The 22,743-nt window shown below is 44.1% G+C and overlaps 1 protein-coding gene across 1 annotated transcript in view, besides 1 other annotated feature; it reads left to right on the top strand.

Annotated features, from left to right (window-relative positions):
* The window catches only part of LYZL4 (lysozyme like 4), a 49,847-nt gene that overhangs the window by 16,941 nt on the left and 10,163 nt on the right, over positions 1 to 22,743 (top strand). The window lies entirely within an intron of this gene.
* Positions 7,806 to 8,313: an enhancer, noted in NCBI's record as "NANOG hESC enhancer chr3:42426849-42427356 (GRCh37/hg19 assembly coordinates)". NCBI's record gives its function as "activates a minimal SCP1, AML or CMV promoter by ChIP-STARR-seq in primed H9 embryonic stem cells {active_cell/tissue: H9 hESC(primed)}" and the evidence as "EXISTENCE:reporter gene assay evidence [ECO:0000049][PMID:30033119]".

The raw sequence follows: 22,743 nt of genomic DNA, 5'->3' as shown, positions 1-22,743 counted from the left end.
TTGGGGAAACTTGGAAGAAACCGGCTAGTGCAAAGAGTACAGGGTTGGAAAATGTCGGAAGTCACAGGGATCGTTCCTGGCTCTGCCACTTATCATTGAGCCAGTTAATTCCTTGAGCCTCATTTTTCCTACCGCAACAAAGTGAGTGACCCTGGCTGCGCTAGCTACACAGTGGTGATGTTGAGCGGGCAGCAGTGAGGCCATGGGGGTCTTCTGATTTCTGGGCCCTTCGCCTGCTTCCCAGCACCATGCTGACTTTATGAGTAAAAACGCTGCTACAGATCTGCCACCAGGAGGGCCTGGTTGTGTGTGTGTGTGTGTGTGTGTGTGTGCACGCGCACACGTCTGGTGCCATGTGTATCCTGCAGCATAGCCTGTCCAAGTCCCTTACTGGAGTAAGAAGATTGCATCTCATGCACACTCAGGACACTGCTTTCCACGATTGTCCCTAAGTTGTGGCTGGTTTTGCTTTGTATTTCAAACCCTGCACACTTCTGAGCTAAAGGTGAGCCAGGCAGCCTCTGCTCCCCATTGCTGCTTCCTCCTTCCTCCCTGAAGTGCTCTAGCTCCTTTGAAGCAAGTGTTCCTCCTGCATTCTCCTGTTCCTGCCCCTCATTCACTGAAGATTTTGGCTTTTGGCTCACTATTTTTCCACCACTACTGGAGTCATCATTCTTGGTGGCTTCAGTATTTATTTAGGCAAGTCACCAGCACCCTGGCATCTTGGTTCCTTGAGTTCATCACCTGGAAAGATCTTGTCCTCCACTTCACTTCAGCCTATCAGCCTTGCCATTACTAGTAACTCCACCACCTTAAAAATCTCAATTCTAAGACCCCACTCTTTGAACGCCACCTCATATCTTTCCATTGCATCCCTCAAGCAGCTCTCTGATGCCAATAATTCTTTGGCTCCACTGGAATCTCTAAGGATTGGTCCTATCACCCTCACACTGTCTCTCACCTCATGTCCTCACTTCTCTCCTGCCCTGGCTTAGATTCCACAGCCACCATCATAATGATGTCATGCATGCACCCTCATCCCCTGTGCTCTTCCCTCCGACATACTCACCTGGCTGCCCAATCCTGGTTACAACCAACTTTACCTATTTTGTGTTTGCACCCAAGTAGCTGTACATATTTAAAGAAGAAAAAATCCCACAAAATCCTGTTGACTAGTGTCACTTTAAATTCTTAAAAACCATTATCAAGTGCACCTTTACATTTCTGACCTCTTAGATGACTGTTTCATGCTTTCTCCTCTCTCTTTAACTCTCCCACACCTCCTTCTTCATTCACCTTTAGCTGCTGCTGCTGCTTCCTAGTTCACTGAGGAAATAGAAGCCATCAGATAAGACCATCTGCAGCCCCATCCCCACATCTGTCTACCCCCACACTCTGCCATTCCCCATGTGGTTATGAACTGCGGGTGCTCCCAGCTAAGGCAGGCCTCTCCACTTGGTTCCTGGATCTCAATTTCCCTTGCCTTGTCTCACTGATAGGCCAGGTGCAGTGGCTCATGCCTGTAATGCCAACACTTTGGGAGGCCAAGGCAAGCCAATCACTTGAGGCCAAGAGTTCAAGACCAGCCTGGGCAACATGGCGAAACCCTGTCTCTACAAAAAAAAATACAAAAAGTTAGTTGGGTGTGGTGGTGTGCACTGTAGTCCCAGCTACTTGGGAGGCTGAGGTGGGAGGATCGATTAAGCCCAGGGGCAGAGGTTGTAGTGAGATCGCACCACTGCACTCTAGCCTGGGTGACAGAGTGAGACTCCATCTCAGAAAAAAAAGAAAAAGAGAGAGAAGTGATAATATACTATCACTTTCTCCCTCCCTGCTTGATTGCTTACACCATCAAAAAAACATATTGTAATATCTCCTACTTAAGGCAATCTCTCTCGGCCTCTGATTTCCTACCATTTCTTAAAACTGATATTGTAATATCTCCCACTTAAAACAATCTCTCTCGGCTTCTGATTTCCTACCATTTCTTTAAAAATTCCTCAAAAAACGTATCCAAGTTTCCTCTCTTCTCTGTATTACCTTCCCCTCTCTGTTCAATCCACTTTATTGGAAGCATGTTTATTATAAGTATTATGGTCTCATATTGCAAAATGCTGTGATCAATTCTTAGTCCACATCTTAGCCCTCAGCAGCATTTGACATGATTGATCATTCCCTCCTTGAAACACCAGATTCACTGTCTTTTGGGCCACCTATATTCCTGGTGTCTCCCCTCTTTCTGGTCACTACTCCTTGAGCTCCTTTATTGGTGTCCCCTCCTCTTCCTGGTCAATGTTGGAGGGACCTCGGCTCAGTCCTCAGATTTCTTCTCTGTTTTCATCTACTCCTATAGTTTCAAATAACATCAGTGTTTTTATGACTTCTAAATATGTATATATTTCTTCCCCAATATTTCCCTCAAACTCCAAATTCACATACAAAAATACCTGTTATATGTTTCATTTGACTATTGAATAGACATCTGTACATACAGTACAATAGTAGCAGAAAATGGATATGCATTGAAAGGGGCCCAGATAGCTCAGGTGCAGACTTCTTTATCCTCACAATGCTGGGTCACACTGGACATGTATTGTCTCCAGGTCTCTTATTACCATGGGTACGTATGTCAAACATCTCGGTAGCGGAGAACCTGGTTGTGGTTGGGGTATCTTAAAATGAGCTGGTCATATAAGCATGCTGTAGCTATGTGGCCAGCCTTAATAATTGAAATCCCCCTTCCAAGGCTCCACCAAAACCAGGTGCAAACTATCAGTCCAATTATTCTGGCATGCTGATTCATCTTGTTCCAAAGTAACTCACTGACCCAAGGGTACAGAACATCAGTCTTAGTTAATACATCCCATGGTATCAGCCAAGGGTTATTTGCCCTAGAATATAGGCATGTAGTCAATCTCCACCACTTGCAATTAACCTATGCTATGCAGATACCATAACAATGGGTAAAGCCATGGATGGTGGAGCTGGCAGAAGTATTGCAAGCAGGGCAGGCACATATTCCAGTAAATATAAAAATAACTGCTCCCCTTTCAGTGAGCCGAGATCGTGCCACTGCACTCCAGCCTGGGTGACAGAGCGAGACTCCATCTTAAAAAAAAAAAAATAGCTGCTCCTGCCATGATGAAAGGGGTCCAGTGTAATCCACCTGCCACAAAGTGTCCAGTTAGTCCCTCTGGGGATTGATGTTATATTAGGGTCTTTGCTATTGGTAGGTTGGGCAGGCCAGTCTTGGAGAAGAGAAATCGTTGTTGTTGAGAACATGCAAAAACTTCATCCTTGTCACCATAGCCACTTCGTTTGTTCACCAGGTGTGGCTAGGGAAAGAGGCTGCTGACATCTATAGCTCATCTTGTCCATCAGATTATTAAAAGCCTTGCCTGCTGTGGGCATCTTAAGGCAAGCATTCACACAGCATACAGATATCCTCACGCTGTGCCCATTCCAAAAGGACTATCTACAAATCCCTTTTCCAGACCTTATAGCCACCAATCTCTTAGTCTTGTTCCTTCTAAATCCCTGACCATCCAGCCAAATCATTAGCTACCTCCCATAAATCAGCATAGATCTCTACCTGTAAACATCTTTCTTTCCAGGCAAAATGAACAACCAGTGGTCTTTTTTAAAGTATTGCCCAGAGGGAGAATTTCCCTCCCCATTATGTTCCGTATAATGTGTAGCACTCTTCATCTAGTTGGTGCAGCACCCTGTGCAGATCCATTCGTGAACTTTGTCGGAGCTTTTTCTTCCTCAGTCAACTGATCATAAAGAACTCCCCATGAAGCCATAGGTGAAGACTGAGGGAGTGGAGAGAGGTACTATAGGAATCCCGCTTATGGATTCCTATAAGTAGGAAGGCACCTACTGGTGCCTTCAGGACCTGACTGAGACCAATATTACTTCTGTCACTGGATGATGCCATGCTGCTGCATACATAAAGCCACCTTTGTGACTTGGGCATCAGAGAACATCTAGTTCACAGTAGCCCGTTCAGATCATGTGGTCTCCTACAGTCAGCCCTAGGAGCGAGGTAGGAACTGCTTCTCAAAAGGAAAGTAGTTATTTCTGGAATAGGGCACAGCTTTGCTTTAAGACCCTACGGTGCTATGCTGTGACTCTCCTATCAGGGTTTTCCAGAGGCTCCGTGGAATTAGTTGCTGGCAAAATTAACAGAAGAGCTACAGGAGCAAGTCAGCCACCTGTAGGGTTTACCATTGCGCCTGTGGTGCAGGGAGTCAGAAAGTGGCTGCTGCTTCTAGGATGTCTGAAATGTGTAGGAAACTGCTGCCAACTTCCCAGCAACTCAGCAGCCTTGAGTGAGGTAACTGGCAGGGAAGCCATGGCCTACTATAAGAATTCTGGCCTGTGAATCTAGGGTCACATTTTCTGTCCAGAACAGTTTCTGTCAGAGGAAGAATGTCTGTTACCTCCCTTCTGCCTTCTAGATCTCCATGAATATATATCTGTGGTGAATCCTAGACTGTATGCAGAACCCTGTCATCATGAGCACCTCCGAGGGTCCTGGCTCCCACCACCCAGGGGAGGACATAGAAGCAGGTGCAAGTGGAGCTGGATGCCAATAGACAATGTCTTGGCCATTTGCACTTTGAAGTTAATGAATATCGTTTGTTTTGCCCAGGCACAATCATATGGCTTTCAGTCCCTCAGCAGCCTAAGCTTCTTGGCAAGGCACATAGGCCCTCCTTGCTGGGGCTCTCCAATGCCTCGCAGCCACCCTCTCTTTGCTTCCCTACCTCCTCCCCACAACTCACCCCTCCCCAATTCCCAGTCAGGGCAGCTGTCATCACAAAATGTTTTTATTATCTATTGGTCACCCGTTTTGAAGGAAGATGGAATTTTAAATTCACATGTCAAAAACAGCCTCAGCAGGACTGATTGTCATTTTTACAAGAGATCCCATCTCATCTATGCAGACACTCATTAAAAATAAGACTCACACAACTAGCTTAGCAGTTCTGAATGCTTGTTCAGCAAATGTTCAAAAATTTTACTGGTTTCAGTTTATGTCCAGGTTCCTTGGGAGCCGCCTCTCTAGTGCTGAGCATCTCAAGAAGCGTTCAACTCTGCTGGCATTCATGACTCTCTGAGGGGCCCTCTGCACATCCTGTTTAACTTCCTGAGACAGCCTGTGAATAATTGAAAAACAGCTTCTGAATAACCCCAAGCCTGGTAGAAGGAGCTTGGGTTGAATCATCAGATTGATCTGTGTCTGTGCTGTTGCTCACCAGCCGTGAGCATCCACCAAGTTGCTTGTCTTTTGGGAGTTTTTTGTTGTTGTTTGTTTGTCATTTCCACTTTTAAGATCGGGATAAAATCCAGGCGTGCTTGATTACTGGGAGGCTGATACAACATCTGACCCTTGGACTGGGGACTCCAGAAACAGTTCTTTTCTTGACAAGAGTGCGCATAGCTAGGTGAAGGATGTTTCTAACTGCCCACATTTCATTCTACACATTGTTTCCTGTATATGACTCCCCTTTTGTTTTTTCTTCTGGCCACCCACTGTCACAAATGAGCTCTGGGGAAGGGAGTCCCACTTACAGGATGATGAATGAACAGGGGGGAAAAGGAGAGATGGAGCTGTGAGAATCGCTCTCCTGCTCACGACCCCTGGAGGCTGTGATGACCGACCTTGTGGTTGCAGTGTTTGTTGCTACCTTGGAGCCTGGGAGGTGAAGACCACTGCTTGGCTGACAGGTGGGAAAGGTCTCTGTGGCCCAGTGAGATTTGTCCCAACAATCAGTTGTGGAGAGGCTTCCCCCTTTAGACAGAAGCAGGAGGAGATGGAAAAAGAGGGCCGAGCTGGGTGGGAGGGGTAGCCCTGGCTGGAGACAGGAGGACCTAGAGGTGAGGGAGGTAGGCAGATGATCCATGTTGCTGAATTACTGAGGCAGAATTTCTGAGCTTGGAAAGTGAGGCAAGTTTCATGTTCCTGGCAAATTTTCTCTTCCTTTCTCTTTTGTTCTTTTTGAACCTCCCACCCTGCACACCTGTCTAAAAGGAAATCAATGGCAGCAGGGAGAGTTGGGGTGGTGGAGCAGGGACGGCGATGAGGGGTTGGGGGGAGGCGGCATGTGGAGCACCAAGGGACGGCAGGTGTGGAGATAAGGATGCTTCACCCTCTGTGGCTCTCCCTCCACAGCCTTGGGTGAGATCTGTGTTTCGCCTTCACAGAAGTCAAACTGTTACTGTGAGAGGCAATACATGTCCTATCTTCTCTTCGTCTCTCTTATAGTTGTAAGAAGTGACACACATGAAATTCTCTGTTTGTATGAGGCCCACGCTAGGTGGTTCACATAAGTTATCTCATGAAGTCCTTCATTGCAACCTTATGAACCAGGCATTTGGATTCCAGCTCTATGACTTCCTGACCTCGGGCATGGTACTTAATCTTGTTAAGTCTCACTTCCCTCGTCTGCAAAATGGAGATAAATACAGACAACAATAGCAATGCACGAGGGATTGCTGTGAAAGTTAAATGAAATATTGCACAGTATGTTGTTATTATTATTATTGTCCTCAGGTGAGGAAATGAAGAAATAAAATATGGAGTAAAAGTAAAGTGGGTGACTGGAGTAATATTAAGCCTTGAGGTGGTGGAAGTTAGCAGAGAAATAAAACGCAAATATAAAGGCGAATTTAAAAAAATCTTTTCATTATGGAAAATTTTAAACATATAAAGACAAAGCACAGTGAACCCCCACATACTTATCAATCAGCTTCTTCTATTGTCAACTTGTGGCCAACTTGGTTACTTCTATTCCTACTCATTCCTTCAATATAAGATTATTTTGAAGCAAATCCAAGACATCATAGCATTTTATCTGTGAATATTTTAATACATGTCTCTGAGAAATAAGAAACCAAAAAAATCTGAGCCAACCATTATCAGATCCAAAAAATTAACAGTAACTTCTTAAAATTAACAAATTTTGTGGTTCAAATTTTTAAGAAACATTTTTAAAAGGGAGAGAATAGTGAAATCATCTAACTTTTTGTTACTTCTGAAAACCAACTTCATCCTTGTGATAGGCAGAATAATCGGCTCTGCAAAGATATACATGTCCTAGTCCCCCAAACCTGGAAATATGTGACCTTTTATGGAAAAAAAGGGGGGCTTTGAAGATGTGACTAAGTTAAAGATCTTGAGGTGAGAAGATAATTCCGGATATCCATTTGGGCCCAAAGTAACCACAAGGGTCCTTAAAAGAGGGAGGCGGGGGGGGGGGGGGGGGCGTGGTGGCTCAAGCCTGTAATCCCAGCACTCTGGGAGGCTGAGGCGGGCAGATCACTTGAGGTCAGGAGTTCAAGACCAGCCTAGCCAACATGGTAAAACCCCGCCCCTACTAAAAATACAAAAATTAGCCAGGCGTGGTGGCAGGTGCCTGTAATCCCAGCTGCTCAGGAGGCTGAGGCACAAGAATCTCTTGAACCCGGGAGGTGGAAGTTGCAGTGAGCCAAGATCACACCACTGCACTCCAGCCTGGGCAATAGAGTGAGACCCTGTCTCAAAAAAAGAAAGAAAAAAAAAGGATGCAGGAGTGAAGGTCGGGGGGAGATGTGATGGTGGAAGCAGGAATCAGAACGGTGCAGCCTCTTGAAGCTGGAAAAGGCAAAGAAATGGTTTATCCCCTAGAGCTTCCAGAAGGAACACAGCTCTACTGACACCTTGATTTTAGACCTCTGACCTCCAGAACCCTCAGTTAACACAATTGTGTTTTTTCGAGTCACTAACTTTGTGGCCATTGGGTACAGCAGCAATAGAAACCAACACAATTGTGTTTTCTTAGTTCATGCTTTATAATATCTACTATTTATCGGGTGCCTGACCCTCAATATTATAATCCTTTGAAAGCAGACAGGTGTTAGTATTACCGTTTTACAGAAGGGGAAGCTGAGGCTTAGAGCATTTTAATAACTTAGAGTCCACAGGGCTAGAAAGTGGTGAGGGTAGCATTTGAATCCAGGCTCTTTGTGGTCCCCATAATCCCACAGGGCCTCCCATGGTGCTGAGTGAATGGCATCATCTCTTCCTCAGTAGGGGATTTATTTACAGGCATGCCTTACTTAATGATGTGGATACATCCGAGAAGTGCATCTTGAGGCAATTTTGTCATCATGTGAATATCACGGAATGTATTTAACAAACCTAGATGGCATAGCCTACTATGCACCTAGGCTACATGCAATATAGCCTATTGTTCCTAGGCTACAGACTTGCACACCATGTTACTGTACTGAATACTGTAGGCAATTGCAACACAGTGCTAAGTATTCGTGTATCTAAACATAGCTAAACATAGAAAAGGTACAGAAAAAATATGGTATTGTAATCTTATGGGACCACCGTTTGTATGGGACCACCACTTGTTGACCAAAACATTGTTAATGTAATGCATGACTGTCCTTGAAAAGAGGCAAAAGACTTTTATTTATTTTTTTTTTTTGAAAAGAGGCAAAAGACTTTACAAATCCTGAGAGAGGGCAGATTTAATTAGGTTATTTTTTTAAAGTAATTATCACAGGAAAAACATTTAAGTTAATGTAGTTTGTTTCTTTAAATTATTAATTTCCATCAAGTTATATAAGCTCATAATAGAAAAAGCAAAATAGATTTTGTCGTGAAGATCAACACTCCTTCATTTTTCTCTCTTGTTCCACTCCTTAGGAAAGAAAAAAACATATTCAACTCTTTCAGCTGATGCTTTGGGTATTTACCTCCAATTCTCTAAAGAATTTGCTCTTTTCCTACTTCTTGGTTTGTGTGAAATCAGGGTTTGCCTTACACCAGGAAGATGGAGATCCAGCTGTCTTTTGCTCCTTACCCTCATCACACACACACACACACCCCATCCTTCCAGTATAATGCACCTTTAACTTGGGTTCCATCAATGTTTGGCTTTCACTGTGACTGTGAAAATGCTCTTCACAGCTGAGCCACAGAGTGCTCTACTATAACTTCTTTTTCCTGAACAGTGTTTTTCTTCTTTAGCGAAGCATTGTTTTTGCTTGTTTGCTTAGTTTCCTACGTACTTATCATTCATTCAACCCCAAAAGTTTCTGCAGTTGTCTAATTCTCCTCTCAGGATGTTCAGATTCATTGGGTTTTCTTTCAGTTCATCTTCTCGAAGAAACCTCCTCCTCATGACTTCTGACTGCTTGAGTCTTCACTGGTCTCTTCACCTCATGCACACCTGTCATTCTTGAATCTTCCTTTATCACCATCAATTTCACCTCTCTCCTGAGATCCCTTGTTTTCCAGAGCCTATCCCTTCTTTCTTCTTGGTTTATACCCTTGTTTTATTGAAATTCGCCCTCCACAAGCTTTCTTAGAAAGAGTGCAAGGGACTCTTGAAATTTTTTGAGATGTTGCATGTCTGAAATGTCTTCATTCCACCTTGATACTTGAGACTGATACTTCGGTTGGGTGCAGAACTCTAAGTCAAAAATAATTTTCCTCTAGAATATTGATTACATTGCTCTTGATTAGCCATAAGCCATTTTTGATTCTAGTTCTTTGTATGTCTTTTCTTTCTGGAAGGTTGTAGGATTGTCTCTAACACTTTGAAATTTCACAGTGACATGCCTCAATGTGGGGTCTATTTCCTCCAATATAATGGGGCTTTCAATCTGGAAACCTGTGTACTTCACTTCTAGAGAATCATCTTGGAATATTTTGTGGAATTTTCTTTTATGATTTTTGATTCTCCCTGGAATTCCCATTATTTGTGCATTTTGTATTTGTCATTCATTCATTCATTTAATAGTTTCTCCATTTTCTATTTCTTTCACTTTTTCCTCTACTTTCTGGGAACTTTTCTCAATTTTCTCGACTTCTTTCAAACCTTCCATTTATTTTTCATTTCTATTTTCATGTTTTTTATGTCTAAGGGCTTTCTTTGCTCTCTGAATGTTTCTTTCTCCCTTTTTTATTAGCATCCTATGTTGTTTTGAAGATGCAATTCTGGTTTTTTCTTTTTATGATACATTTTTGTTAGTTTCTTCTGGCAGCAGTCTCTTTCTTTCTACCTATTTATTTTATTTACAGTCTTCTCTAAGATGTGTGTTGATCCCTGTTTGGTTATTTATATTTAAGAAGCTGATTGGAGCTTTCAGTTAGTCAGGTTCATCAAGTTATATAAGCACATAATATAAAGAGTAAAATAAGGTTGGTTTTTTTTTTTTTTTTTTGGTGGAAATCAGTTGTTACTGGAGATACTGGAGATGATGGGGTTCACCATGGAGCCATCCGGCTGGACAGTTTCCCTGCAGGCATCACTGATGTCAGGTCTTTCACTCTGCCCTCCTAGGCTGCCCATGTTCCCCAGAGAAGGTTGCTGCAGCCTCCCACCTGGAGTATATAGGCTTGGCTGCCCCATTCTTGGAGCCAGTTTGGGAGGAAGGTTGAGGAGTAGGCTGGGTCTCATCTTTCACATGTATAAATGTTTATTTAAACCTCTTGTTTTCAGTATAATACTCCTGCCCTAAACTGTGCCTGATGCCCCCAGTTCAGAAACCCCCAGCATTGACCTCTTCAGATAACTGAATGATAGTTTTCTGCTAGAGTAGTGGGGGACAAGCACCTGGTTGTGTGGAGTGGAAAGGAAAGCTGGGGCCTAACTGACTCTTAGGCAGACTTTGAGCCACTTAGCCTCGCTTTACCCTCACTGCCAAGCATCACTGCTGCCGGTTGTTCCTGAATCTCTGAGGCCGCCTAGGGGCAACTCCGGCTGTGTCTGTTCTATGCTGGCCAAAGAGTCAGCTTTCTAGGGTCTGCTACAGCAGGTGCTATGCATGCTCTGCTTTCCCATTTCTAGCAGGCTGTCCAGTTGTCTCTTCTGCTTGTCCTTGAAAGTTTATGTATTTAAAAAATTCCTTTAAGCTAAAATGGAGGCCATTCAGGGAGGCTGTTCAGAGTAGGGACCTTGGGGTTCAGTGGATCTGGGCTCTAGTTCCAGCCCCATGGTTTACTAGCTGTTGGATCCCCTGGAAAGTTGGTCATCTCCATTTCCTGATCTATATAAACAGGGCAATCAGTAGAGAAATTGGGAATTTAATATAATGATTGGGGTTATATAAGGATTAAATGAGATGTCCCCAGTGCATGGTATACACTCAATAGTCAATACACGCTAGCTAGTGTACCTCAATAATAGCAATAATATTTTTCTTGATAAATATTAATATGACATATTAATATGACATATACTCTGGAATAGATTGGAATCCTGGTAAATAAAGATTTGTCAAAGACTGTCTCTTCCCTGGAGCAAAGACTATCTGTCAAGACTACACGCACACACACACAGAAACACAATTTCTATATTGTCTGCTATGGCCTAATTTAGCACATTCTATGATTAAGGAATATCTTTCTAAAACTTTGTTGAGCAAGGGAGAGAAATGGGTCAACCACTGGAACATTGCACAGCCCAATCCACCAAAGCAGGCTGCAAATATCAGTTGTAGTTATTAGTGAAAGACTTTGTATATACAACACTGAGCACCGTTTCTGGCAAACAGTAGGTGATCCGTATGTGTCCTATGACATTGGATCTGTGTTCTTACTTCTTCTCCTCTCTAGAATTGGCCTGCTCTGTTTTGCCATGGTGGATGCTTTAAAAGTTTTAAAGTGCTTGTTGGAATACAGTGTGATCCCTAGGATGTTTTTCCCCCTCACAGAAAGCTACAGTTTTTAGCTCATGTGCTTTAGAATAAGATGCGCAAGTCAGAGTGTAATCCACTTAGATCCTAATGAAAGTCACTGGCCAGGACTCCGCCTTTAGGAGGGAGGTCTCTCCCACTGAGTGTCTTGAAGGGTAAATGTAAATAACAGTTTCCATGACTAAAAGGTAGATTTATTTCTGTAGAATTTTATATTTTACAGTGATCTCCACCCAGTGAAACGGGGCCTAGCAAAGAAGCCAGGAAATTGCTTACCCTTTCCCATGAGACTTGGCCTTTAAAATACTTACAACTTTTGGTCACTTTTTGCCATTTCAGATAGATTTTCCTTCCAGAACATTCCAATTTATTACCTCGGTGGTAAATTCTTGCTCCTTCCGGATGTGCTGTCGTTTCAACGCTGGCTTTCATTTTCTGTAGCTTTTTTCCGAGTTCAGGATCATATGTCAGTTTTAAGCCAGTTGACTTTGATCACTTTACACAGCCGGCAAAGAATATGGCCTAGTTCATCCCTTCTTCATTATTTTTAAGTGAAATTTTAAAATAATCTCTTGGTTTAGTTCATTCCTGGGGGGCAGGGGATGACTTTCTTTCGATGAATTGATATAGATTGAAATACTAAAATCTGAAAAAAATTCAAAATTTCATGCAGGTCTTGGTATAGGCATTTATGAAATGAAGGGGGTCAAGGAATAGTTTAAAGAACAGGAAAGGTCCAACATCAGTCACTGCATCAATTAGCTTTTATCACAACAATGCTATGTAACAAACCACTCTAGACCTCAGTAGCCTACCATAGCAGGCATTTATCTTTCTCTCCCATGTCTGCAGGTGACCTGATCTAATTTGGGCTCACTAGGACTTGGCACTAGCCAGTATTGGGTTCAGGTCTGCAACATTGAGTTTTTCACTTTTCTGGGACCACTGAGCTACCCTCAGAAGCACTTCTCAAGGCAGAAGCATAGGAAGGCAAACCCAACCACACAACTATATTTTATGCCACAGCGGCTAACATTCCATTGGCCAAAGCCAATAACATGGCCAAATACAAAGTTGGTAGGCAGCAGGGGTAGACATCAACCATGGGGCCAAAATAAGACCCAGGGCCCAGCCCCACATTGGTGGAGCAAGGAAGCACACTTCCCCCATGGAAGTGTGGTGGGAAAGTGAATATTTGTTAGCAGCCATCCTTGACTAGTTTACTCCAGAAGCTCCAATAAGAAGAAATCCTGTAATGTAGATGTCTGTTCTTTTAGATCAGTGGTTCACAAAATATGGTCCCTGGGCCAGCACCATCATCATCATCACCTGGGAACTGGTTAGAAAGCTGGTCTCCGGGCCCCACCCTAGACCTACTGAATCAGAAACTCTGAGGGAGGGACAATTATGTATACAGAGAACACTCTGCTGTTTTGATTTTAATACAAAGGGATTGAGTTCACATTGACAAGGGAAGTATTATTTAACATGGTTCAGCTGCCCACTAACCATTTTCACCAAGAGAACTTGGTAAATGCAAGGGCTGCTTAGCTCCAACGTTTTATTTACTCCATGGCCCTTTAGAGGAAGCAGAAAGATCATGAACATAAATATAGGATTTACAATTTATCAGTTATGTGACTTTGGGCAAATAACTTACACTCACAAGATTCCCAGTTACTTATCTATAAAACAGGGCAGTAAACACTGTCCTTTTTTGGGAAAGTGCCTGAAATGCAGACATGGACCCCCTAGCCATAGGTGATGAATCCAGGATGGACAACTGATCTGTCTTAGGTTCCAGCCACTGTTACAGATTACTACAGGCTGGGTGGCTTAAACAACAAACATTATTTCCCACAGCTCTGAAGACTTGAAAGTCCAAGAGGTGGTGTCCGATGAGGGCCCACTTCCTAGTTTGCAGACGGCTGTCTTCTGCAGTTGCCCATCAATTGCTTACACTTTCCTGTGAGACTTGGCCTTCAAAATACTTACAATTTTCGGTCACTGCTCATATGGCAGGAAGGAGAGAGAGAGATCCTGTGTTTCCTTCCCTTTTTGTAAGAGCACTAATCCCAGGATAAGGGTCCTACCCCCATGAGCTAATCTAATCCTAATTACCTCCCAAAGGCCCCACTTCCAAATACCATCACATTGAGGATTAGGATTTCAACATATGAGTTTTGGGAGGGCACAAAGATTCAGTCCATAAGAGGATCGGAGTGAGTCAATCTGATTGTCTTTTTGAGGAGTTTGGGATTTTGCAATGAGAAACACAGAGGCTGGAAGACAGCAGAGCTGAGTTTCTTTGATGGCAGAGTTCTGGAGAGGAGAGACATAACTCCCAGTGATGAAGCAGCTGGGTCTTCTCTTGGTTCCTGGCCTTCTGGAATTTGTGAGATAACATGAGGGCTTCTAATAAACTTCCCTTTTGCTTGAGCTAATGTAGTAGTTTGAGAATATGGCTGGCCACATTCTTTGATATCCCTCCTCTCAAGAGGCAAGGTCAATGCCCCTCCCCAGATTCTGTTAATTGGTAATTGAATAACTATTAGAATACAGTGGAAGTTACATTGTGCCATTTTCCAGGCCCAGGCCTTAAGAAACTGGCACTCACACTTTCTTTCTCATGGTGCTTTTCTCTTAGAACCCAGCCCCTATGTTGAGGAGATGTCCGAGCTGCCCACAGGGGCACCCAAGTGGAGAAGAATGAACAGCCAGCACTGACTAACCAGCAATATGAGTGAGGCAGTTTGGAAGTAGATCTTCCTGCCTCAATCCAGCTGTCCCAGTTGATGCCATGTGGAGCAGGCATAAGCTGACCCTGCTGAGCCCTGCCAAATCACAGACTTGTGAGCAAACAATCATTGCTATTGGTATAAGCCACTCAGTTTGGAGTGGCTTGTTATGCAGCAATAGGTGAATAGAGTCACCAGCTGCAGTTTTCTTTTCTGTTGCTCACAAGCAGAAGAGCAGCAGCACAGAGATTAAGCACTTAAGCTCTGGACTCAAATCCTGCTTTGCAACTTGCTAGGTGCGATTTTTGGGCCACCTGTGACATCTTTATGTAATTCAGTTTTCTCACTTGTCAAATAAAAAGAGAAATAGAAAAACAGTGGTTTTTCATCAGATTGCTGCGAGAATGAAGTGAGATTATGCATGTAAAGTATTTAGTGTGGGTCACCAGCACAGTGAACAGTAAGCACTAAATCTACACGTTAGTTGCACTCCATCTTACTAATATAGAGATGAGTTTCAGGAATGGGCTGCAAGGTAGTGCACCTTAACACGTGGAACCAGCTGAGTTGAGGTGCACTGGGAAGAAGTGAGGCATCCCTAACCCCAGCCTGGGGTGCTGGCAGTCCTTTTACATACAGGGACAATGCAATCCATTAAACAACCTTTTATTGTCTCCCAGAAGCCAGACCATGTGTTCAGTGGTGGAGACTTGGGGACAGACCAGCAAAATATCAGAGTACTTCAGGGATTAGAGATCGTCTACAGACTTTAGTAAGTGACTCAAGAAGGATACAAACTCCAGACAAGCTGGGATGGCCACTTGAAAGCAGTGTGACAGCAACAGAATGGATATATAACTTTGGCAAAGGAAATTCTTGCTGTCAACCCTCTGAGGCCACTGGGAGTTAAACAGTTGGGCCTTGCTAAATTTCAGAGGCCACATTCTCTGCTACCTGTAAATAAGTGCCTTGATGAACACTGTAGGCCCCTGTAATAGAGATGCCTGGGAGAAACTAGGGGAGATGGGAATGGAATGCTGATTTTGTACCAATCTCAACACTTCCTGTTGGGACACTGGGGACTTTGCCACCACCAAAGTGGCTGTTGGCTCACAAGTTCTGCTCCCCTGGGAACAGCTCATGAATCCTGTGTGGATGAGCCCTCATAGGCTTTGTCTACAAAAAACATACCCACCCCCTTGGCCATCCCTGATAGATCCAGGGGAGAACCCAATCTTGGCTGTATCTATCACAATCTTTGTCCTTGAACTGAGAGACATAGACCTTGGCGAGCTGAGTCATGGTAATGTCAGTGCACCAGAAAGGCAGTCAGCAAACCCACTGCTGAGTCCACAGATCTGCCGAAGGCTCCTGCCTTTCTCCAGCCTTGGTTGGAATTATGGTTGAAGTGATTCTGAGGTCCTTTAAGATGACTAAGCTGCACAGGACCTTACCATGTATCTGTTGGCATGTATGACTTGGGGTGAAAAATATCAGGCCCAGATAATAGTCAAATTACCTCACTTTCTGCAAGCTAAACACAGTCTAACTGCATTAGTGACACACACACACACACACACACACACACACACACACACACACAGAGAGTCATGCATCACTTAATGATGGAAACATGTTCTGGTAATTTCATCGTGTGGATATCAGACAGTGCCTTTACACAAACCTAGATGGAATAACCCACTACATACCTAGGCTTTTGTGTTTTTCCCTATCACTCTGTGGGACATAGTATTTGCCTAGTATCCCTACATGTAAGGAAGAGAGAATAGGATAAACTCAGAATGGCACCTGGTATACCCAAAGAACTGCTTGGGGGATAGTTGATTTTCAAGCTAGCTGGAATTGGTTTCTCTCTTTTGCCACCTAAGGAAACTTATTATAACAGAGATTTTTTCAACCCAGAAAATGATCTACCCCATAGGCAGACAGTGAGGGTTAAAGGAGATTGTATAGTCAAGTTGACTAGCCTAGTTCCTGGACAAATTATGCTCAACACACACCCTATTCCCTATTCCCTGCTTCTCCTGGACACATGCTCGGGAGACTCACTTGTCACCAAAAGGTCAGACTGCTCTGGAATACTGTCCTACTGCTTCAGGATCCTGCAGCCCTTTGCCCCATCTCATTTCCATGCCTAATGCAATTTTAGAGCATGATGTGTAGTAAGCATGGCTAAAAATTCTGGAAGATTTATTACATTCCCTTGTTCTATAGATCAAGGACAATTTTTAATAAATCCTTGCTTTTGCTGAATGATTTAATATGCCATTGTCTAGGCAACAGAATTGTCTTCAATTAGATTTTAAAACTAATATAGGAAGAAACTTTCCCCTTTCCTTGCCAACATTATTAGATAAGGCCATAAGTCCTGATCAAGAACAAAATTTGCTGGTGCCTCATGGGGACCTTGAAACCGGATTCTCTTTTGCAGCAGTATGGCTCCCTACCTTTTATTCCAGGGCAGGCACCCTGTTGAGGTGGTTGAGGCTACCAGTGGGAAGTGCCCACAGCCACATAGGGCCAGGTGCTGCTCATATAGAGAGATCCGCCCCCGCCAGAGGAAACTGACTTTGGAGAATGAGTCACTCGTTGGGGTCTGGCCCTCAGCCATGTAAGCTCAGAAATTCAATCTTTTAAGTTCCAGAAGTTATTGGATGCTTGAATAAACAACCACTGAGGGACCTGAGAACAAACTGGAAAGAAAATTGACTAATTCTGAGCAGTCTGGAGGTTCACATCAGCCAGATGAGCACATGTTCTCCCTGGAGGCATTGATCTTGGGAAGCCATGTTATCCCAGAGTGGCTTCCTACCCAGGAACTGGCAATGAAGGGCTATTGATGTAAAGTGATGTTTTAATGGCCCCAGGCTTCCCAGGGCAGAGGGTGGGGGGGCACCAACAATGTTCAGCCTCTACTTCCCCACCTTCAGGCTTCCCTGGTCAGCCATGGCCTCCATCAATGGTCCCATTCTCCCTGCGAAGGGTGGATTCCACTGCAGGCCTGGAACTTGTTCTTGGGCCTCTGCACTTCTGCACATTCCTTAATGAGCTGATTTTATGGCTTAACTCTCAGGACATCCTTAATTCCTTCATTTCCACAACCTTGAGGGGTCTGTTTTAGTCGCCCTTATGTGGGTAGAATCTTGGTTTTGATGGCACATGAAGGTGGGGAGGATTGTGGATTTGGGTGGCAGGCGGTGCCATTCTGAGTAGTGTGATAACAGGAGTCACTGTGAGGTGCTGTCGATACACACCTCAGAATCATTAGCTCCTTTAATCCTTCCCACAATCCTGTAAGGAAAGTACTAGTATATTTCCCAATTGACTGAATTCATTCCATCTTTATAACAATGTCTTAAAAGAACATCCAATGTCCCCGCTCCTGCTTTCTGCTGCTGCTGGTGGAGCCTGAAGATAAAGAGGGGGAGTCAAAGGGCTAAAGAGAAGCATAATATATTCTTTAATAAGGAGAACTCTGATGAGCATATTCCTCATGCTTTCTTGTTCATATTACAGAGCATATTTTCATGAATGTGTTCTCCTTATGCCTCCTCAGCCCCCAGCCTGCCTCTCTAGTCCTGTCTCCCCGGCTCTTCCCTCAGCTTCCCTCTCTCTGGGTACTTCAGTCTTCAGTCGAAGAGCAGAGTGCTAAGGCAGACACAAGTTGCATATTTCATAAAATCCTATTATGTAGACAAGATGAAAGCTGGCTAATGAGAACAGAATACTTAAAAGAATCAGATAATTTGGTGGCTCGCTCATTTGGCAGGATGGCTCCCAGTGTACTGGGCAAACTTAGCCATTTGGCTTGACTTTTGACTGTCTTTAGGTAAAGTAACCAGGGCTTGTTTTCCAAATAAGGAAAGCAGAAGCTAGAGAGGCTGAGGAAGTTGCTGGATGTCACAATAACAACGGTTAGATCGACTATTCTACAAAAGTCTGTCTGAAGCTGAGTTGGTGTCTTTGTGCCATTCAGCAGGATAAGAGCACAGGAGAGAAGACAGGATAGAACTCAGAATGGCTCTTGGTGTAGCTGAAGAACTGCTTGTGGAGGCGGGGGGATCCTTGATTTTTAGGCACCAAAAAGTCAGATACTAGGCCAGGTACAGTGGCTCACACCTGTAATCCCAGCACTTTGGGAGGCTGAGGTGGGCGAATTGCTTGAGCCCAGGAGTTCAAGACCAGACTGGGCAACATGGTGAAACCTGGTCTCCACTAAAAATACAAAAAATTAGCTAGGTATGGTGGTGCACCCCTTTAGTCCCAGCCACTCAGGGGAGCTGAGGTGGGAGGATGGGTTGAGGCTTCAGTGGGCTGTGATCATGCCACTGCACTCCAGCCTGGGCAACAGAGTGAGACCCTGTCTCAAAAAAGTTTTAAAAAAAGTCAAATACTATGAATGCCAGAAAGGAGAGAAAATAATTGAGGAGCAATTAGAAAAACTTAATTTATTGTAAGAAAATACACAATGCAAGGTGTGATGCTCTGTGGCTCCTGTCACTTGGCACCAGTGGCGAGGATACAGCAGGGACAGGTGGGGACTGAGGTGAGCTGAAGGGAGGGCCGTATCAGTGTTGTTGATTCTGTAATTTTTCAAAAACAGCTAGAAATCCTGATTTTGATATTAAATCTCCCAAGTCGTAAGTGTAACTTCAAATTAATTCATACTGGCTCAGGATATCGGTGGCCTCGACAGTTGGTTGGCATGAAACCATCACTAAATCCCAAAGCTGGGTGAAAAGTACTGTGCTGTGGGGGATGAAAATTCTGACTACAGTGAAGAATAGATGAAGAGGTCAAGAAGTACTTACAAGAATAACATTTTACCACTAAAAAGAAATCCATTTCAACTATGTCACCCCCTGCACTTGGAGTGAATAATTTAAAGTACAGGTTTTGGAACCAGAAAAGTCTGTTGCTGAATCCCAGCTCTACCACTGATTTGCTCTGCAACCCACAGCAAATCGATCAACCTTTCAGTGCCTTTGTTTCCTCACACCTTAATTCCTGAGCTTTCAATGCAATAAGATATATGAAAAGCAAGATAAGGAGCAGATGGAAGGTTCTTAAACAATGGTACTTGCTAAAATAGCAATACTGAGAATTATCATTGTGATAATAATGATAACTATTATCAGTAAATTTATAAACCTCGAGGAACGCTCTACTGGGAACTCGGTTTCTAAAAGTTATTTTCCTGGGTGTTTTTTCCATGAGGATGATGAGGCATTTTGGTCTTACTTTTTCATTTCATTATCCTTACATTTAGAAGTCACAAAGCCTAACCCATATATATATACATATTAGCAAATATATACATGTATTTTTATTTCTGTCTGCAAAGCATTCAGGGAACTCAAGTAATCCATTGAAATTCAAACCCAGTGGGAATTTCTGACACTGGACTTTAACAGCTTAAGGCATCTCAAAAAGCTTCTATCTACTGACCTTTAAGGGAAGGTGTGCTTTGGGAGGATTCACACAGAATTCAGCCACTTTCTGATGCACAGGGCTTCTTAATTCCATTCTTCATCCCTTCCTGATTGTGCATGTCTTAGTGTGCTATTCAGCTTAGCCCAATCTGTAGTCATTGCCGGCAATGAGAAAAGTGGTCGTTCTTAAGGTTCTCCCCCAAGGACCTGCACACACACATGCACACCCTCCCCCACGCCCATGCTATGGCTAAAGCTAAACAGCTTGTACTAAGAGCTGGGTAAGGGTGTGTGTGTGAAATAGTAACCCTTGTGTTTTGGAAAGAGTAAGAAATTCTCTCAACACAGTCCCATGTTGCCCTAGGTCATCCCAATAGAGAGAAAGCTGATCTGCTACAAATGTGGCTGGCACCCAGGAATATAGGGTTTGGGGCTTCCAAGGCAGCTGATGACAAATGTCCAGGACCCTCACCTCATTCCTGACTCAGTTTCCACCTCCCCAGGCTCTCCGCACCAGCTCCAAGCTTTTAGGTTTTGCATCCTAACTCTTTTTTTGTTTTTATTTTGAGACAGAGTTTTGCTTGTCCCTCAGGCTGGAGTGCAGTGGTGCAATCTCAGCTCACTGCAACCTCTGCCTCCAGGGTTCAAGCAATTCTCCTACCTCAGCCTCCCGAGTAGCTGGGACTACAGGCACTCGCCACCATGCCCTGCTAAAATTTTTTTTTGGTTTTTGTGGAGACAAGGTCTCACCATGTTGGCCAGGCTGGTCTCAAACTCCTGACCTCAAGGGATCTGCCCTCCTCAGCCTCCCAAAATGCTGGGATTACAGGCATGAGCCACCACACCCAGCCATGCATCCTAATTCTAGCCCAGTTCAGACATAGTATGACAGCCCTGGTTTCTCCTGATGAGCTTTGGACCCTTGTAATACATGCTGTGGGTGCCCCACAGTGATCTTTCCCATGCACATGGACCCCATATGTCAATTGCCAGCAGCTGCAACTTGCTGCCCAAAGCAGGCTTTCTCAGGCTTCTTAAGCCCATTAAGCTGTTGCAAAGAGCAAGTTGTGCTGGAAAGTTAAGCCCCACTCCCCAGCAGCCATGACCACTGGTGGGTGGGAGTTGGGGTGGATAAATACCTCAACTTCCTCACCCTTTGCTGGGGGGGACAATGCTGAGGCATGCTCCACCCTGACTCTTAAAGGTGCCCAGTGGGACTGAACTCTCACTGTTCTCAGGGTAACCTACACATTAAAGCCTGCTGCATCACTGTCTTCCTTTCTGTAACTCACTTCCCCACTGTCATACTGGTGTTTCCCAGAATCACCTCCAAATCAACTCCTTGTCTCAGGGTCTGCCTCTGGCAGCCCTCTTTCTTATTTTATGCAGTAACACAGTATTCACTAACCATCACTATATGTCAGACACAGTATTCATCTCACATCAACTCTTTGAGGCAGGTGCAGTGATCACTCGCACCTGACAAATGAGAAAATGGAGCCCACAGAACCAGCAAGTGGCAGAGTTAGGATTTGAATTCGAATCTTTCTGGTTCCAAAAGTCTTTCCTATCCCATCACATGATGCTCACCTGATTCTTTTCACTCTGGGTCTCTCCCCTGCCTGACCAAGCCCTGGCTACCAGGACAGAAATGGACGTGGCTGACCAGTTACTATGACACCAATTATCACCAGAAGTAGGAAATTGTAGTTCAGGAACCAATTGTGCTGAGACAGCTGGCTCCAGCCCACAGAGGCAGGCAGCACTATTATTTTAAGAATCCTCCTGGCCACAGAATAGCAGCCTTTGTGACTGTGGAGGTTGGCACAGGAACGGTGATGCCCGCCCTATTAACAGGCTGTGTAGGAAGACCCAATGGAAAAACCCAGCTTGGAGGCTCTCTAGTCTGTTTTGCCATGGAAACTTCTACTACTTGTAAGGAATAGAGAACTGACAATTTGGAAGTCTGGAGTCCAGTTCCCATCCTTCCCTTTATTGTCTGCATGGGTTTCAGATTCCTGCTTCCCTACACCAAACCTCAGTTTCATGGATTATATGTACTGAGCCTGCAAGCATAGGCCATTGTGGTCCCATCAACTGTAACATTAAGAACTGAGTGAATTTTAAGTGTTGGGTGCTTCATTTGGATGTTTCTCAATAATATTTGGTCTGTGGTTGACACCCAGGTCTTGGCAGTTGTCCAAGACCCAACTTCATCTTTGGACAAGGTGAAAAAATCATGGCTATGTTTCATCCAGATCAAAAGAACCACGTGATTGGCCAGGAATATATTTCTATTATGTACTCAGATTCTAGAAAAGATGGGCATTTGTTCATTCCTGCATTCAAATAACCCTTTAGAGTACACCCTTGTTCCAGGCCCTGAGCTTGGCATATGAATGCAAAAGTAGACAACACAGGACCCTTGATTTCAAGTGTCAGGAAATCCCACTGGAAAGTGATTAATGGGGATGAGTGACATTGAAAAAGATTTGGGATTTCTCTGCCACCCCTGAGTGCTGGTCTCCATAAATTCTCCTCTAGTAAGGCAATAAACCACAGCAGCTCTTTAGAGAAAGATAGGCACCATCCAGACTAGGACAACTAGGGCAAGTGCATCCAGTATTACAGAGGGGAGATGGGAGTTCCAGGGGAGAATCAGGAAGGACTTCCTCGAAGAGGTGATGTTTAGAAGATTCACAGGACTCAGCAGTTGAAGATAGAGAGAATGCTGCCACCAGACCAAATGTGTGCAAAGTCCTCCAGGGAGGAAACAGGGAAACCTGTTCAGGACACAGGTTGTTTCGGTTGGATGCAGCCGAGGCTCCCTAAAGACAAAAGGAGATGGG

Source organism: Homo sapiens, chromosome 3 (genome assembly GCF_000001405.40).
Source record: "Homo sapiens chromosome 3, GRCh38.p14 Primary Assembly".
Taxonomy (NCBI): domain Eukaryota; kingdom Metazoa; phylum Chordata; class Mammalia; order Primates; family Hominidae; genus Homo; species Homo sapiens.
The sequence above is the reverse complement of the archived record's forward strand: the minus strand, read 5'-3'. Positions and strand labels throughout refer to the sequence as shown.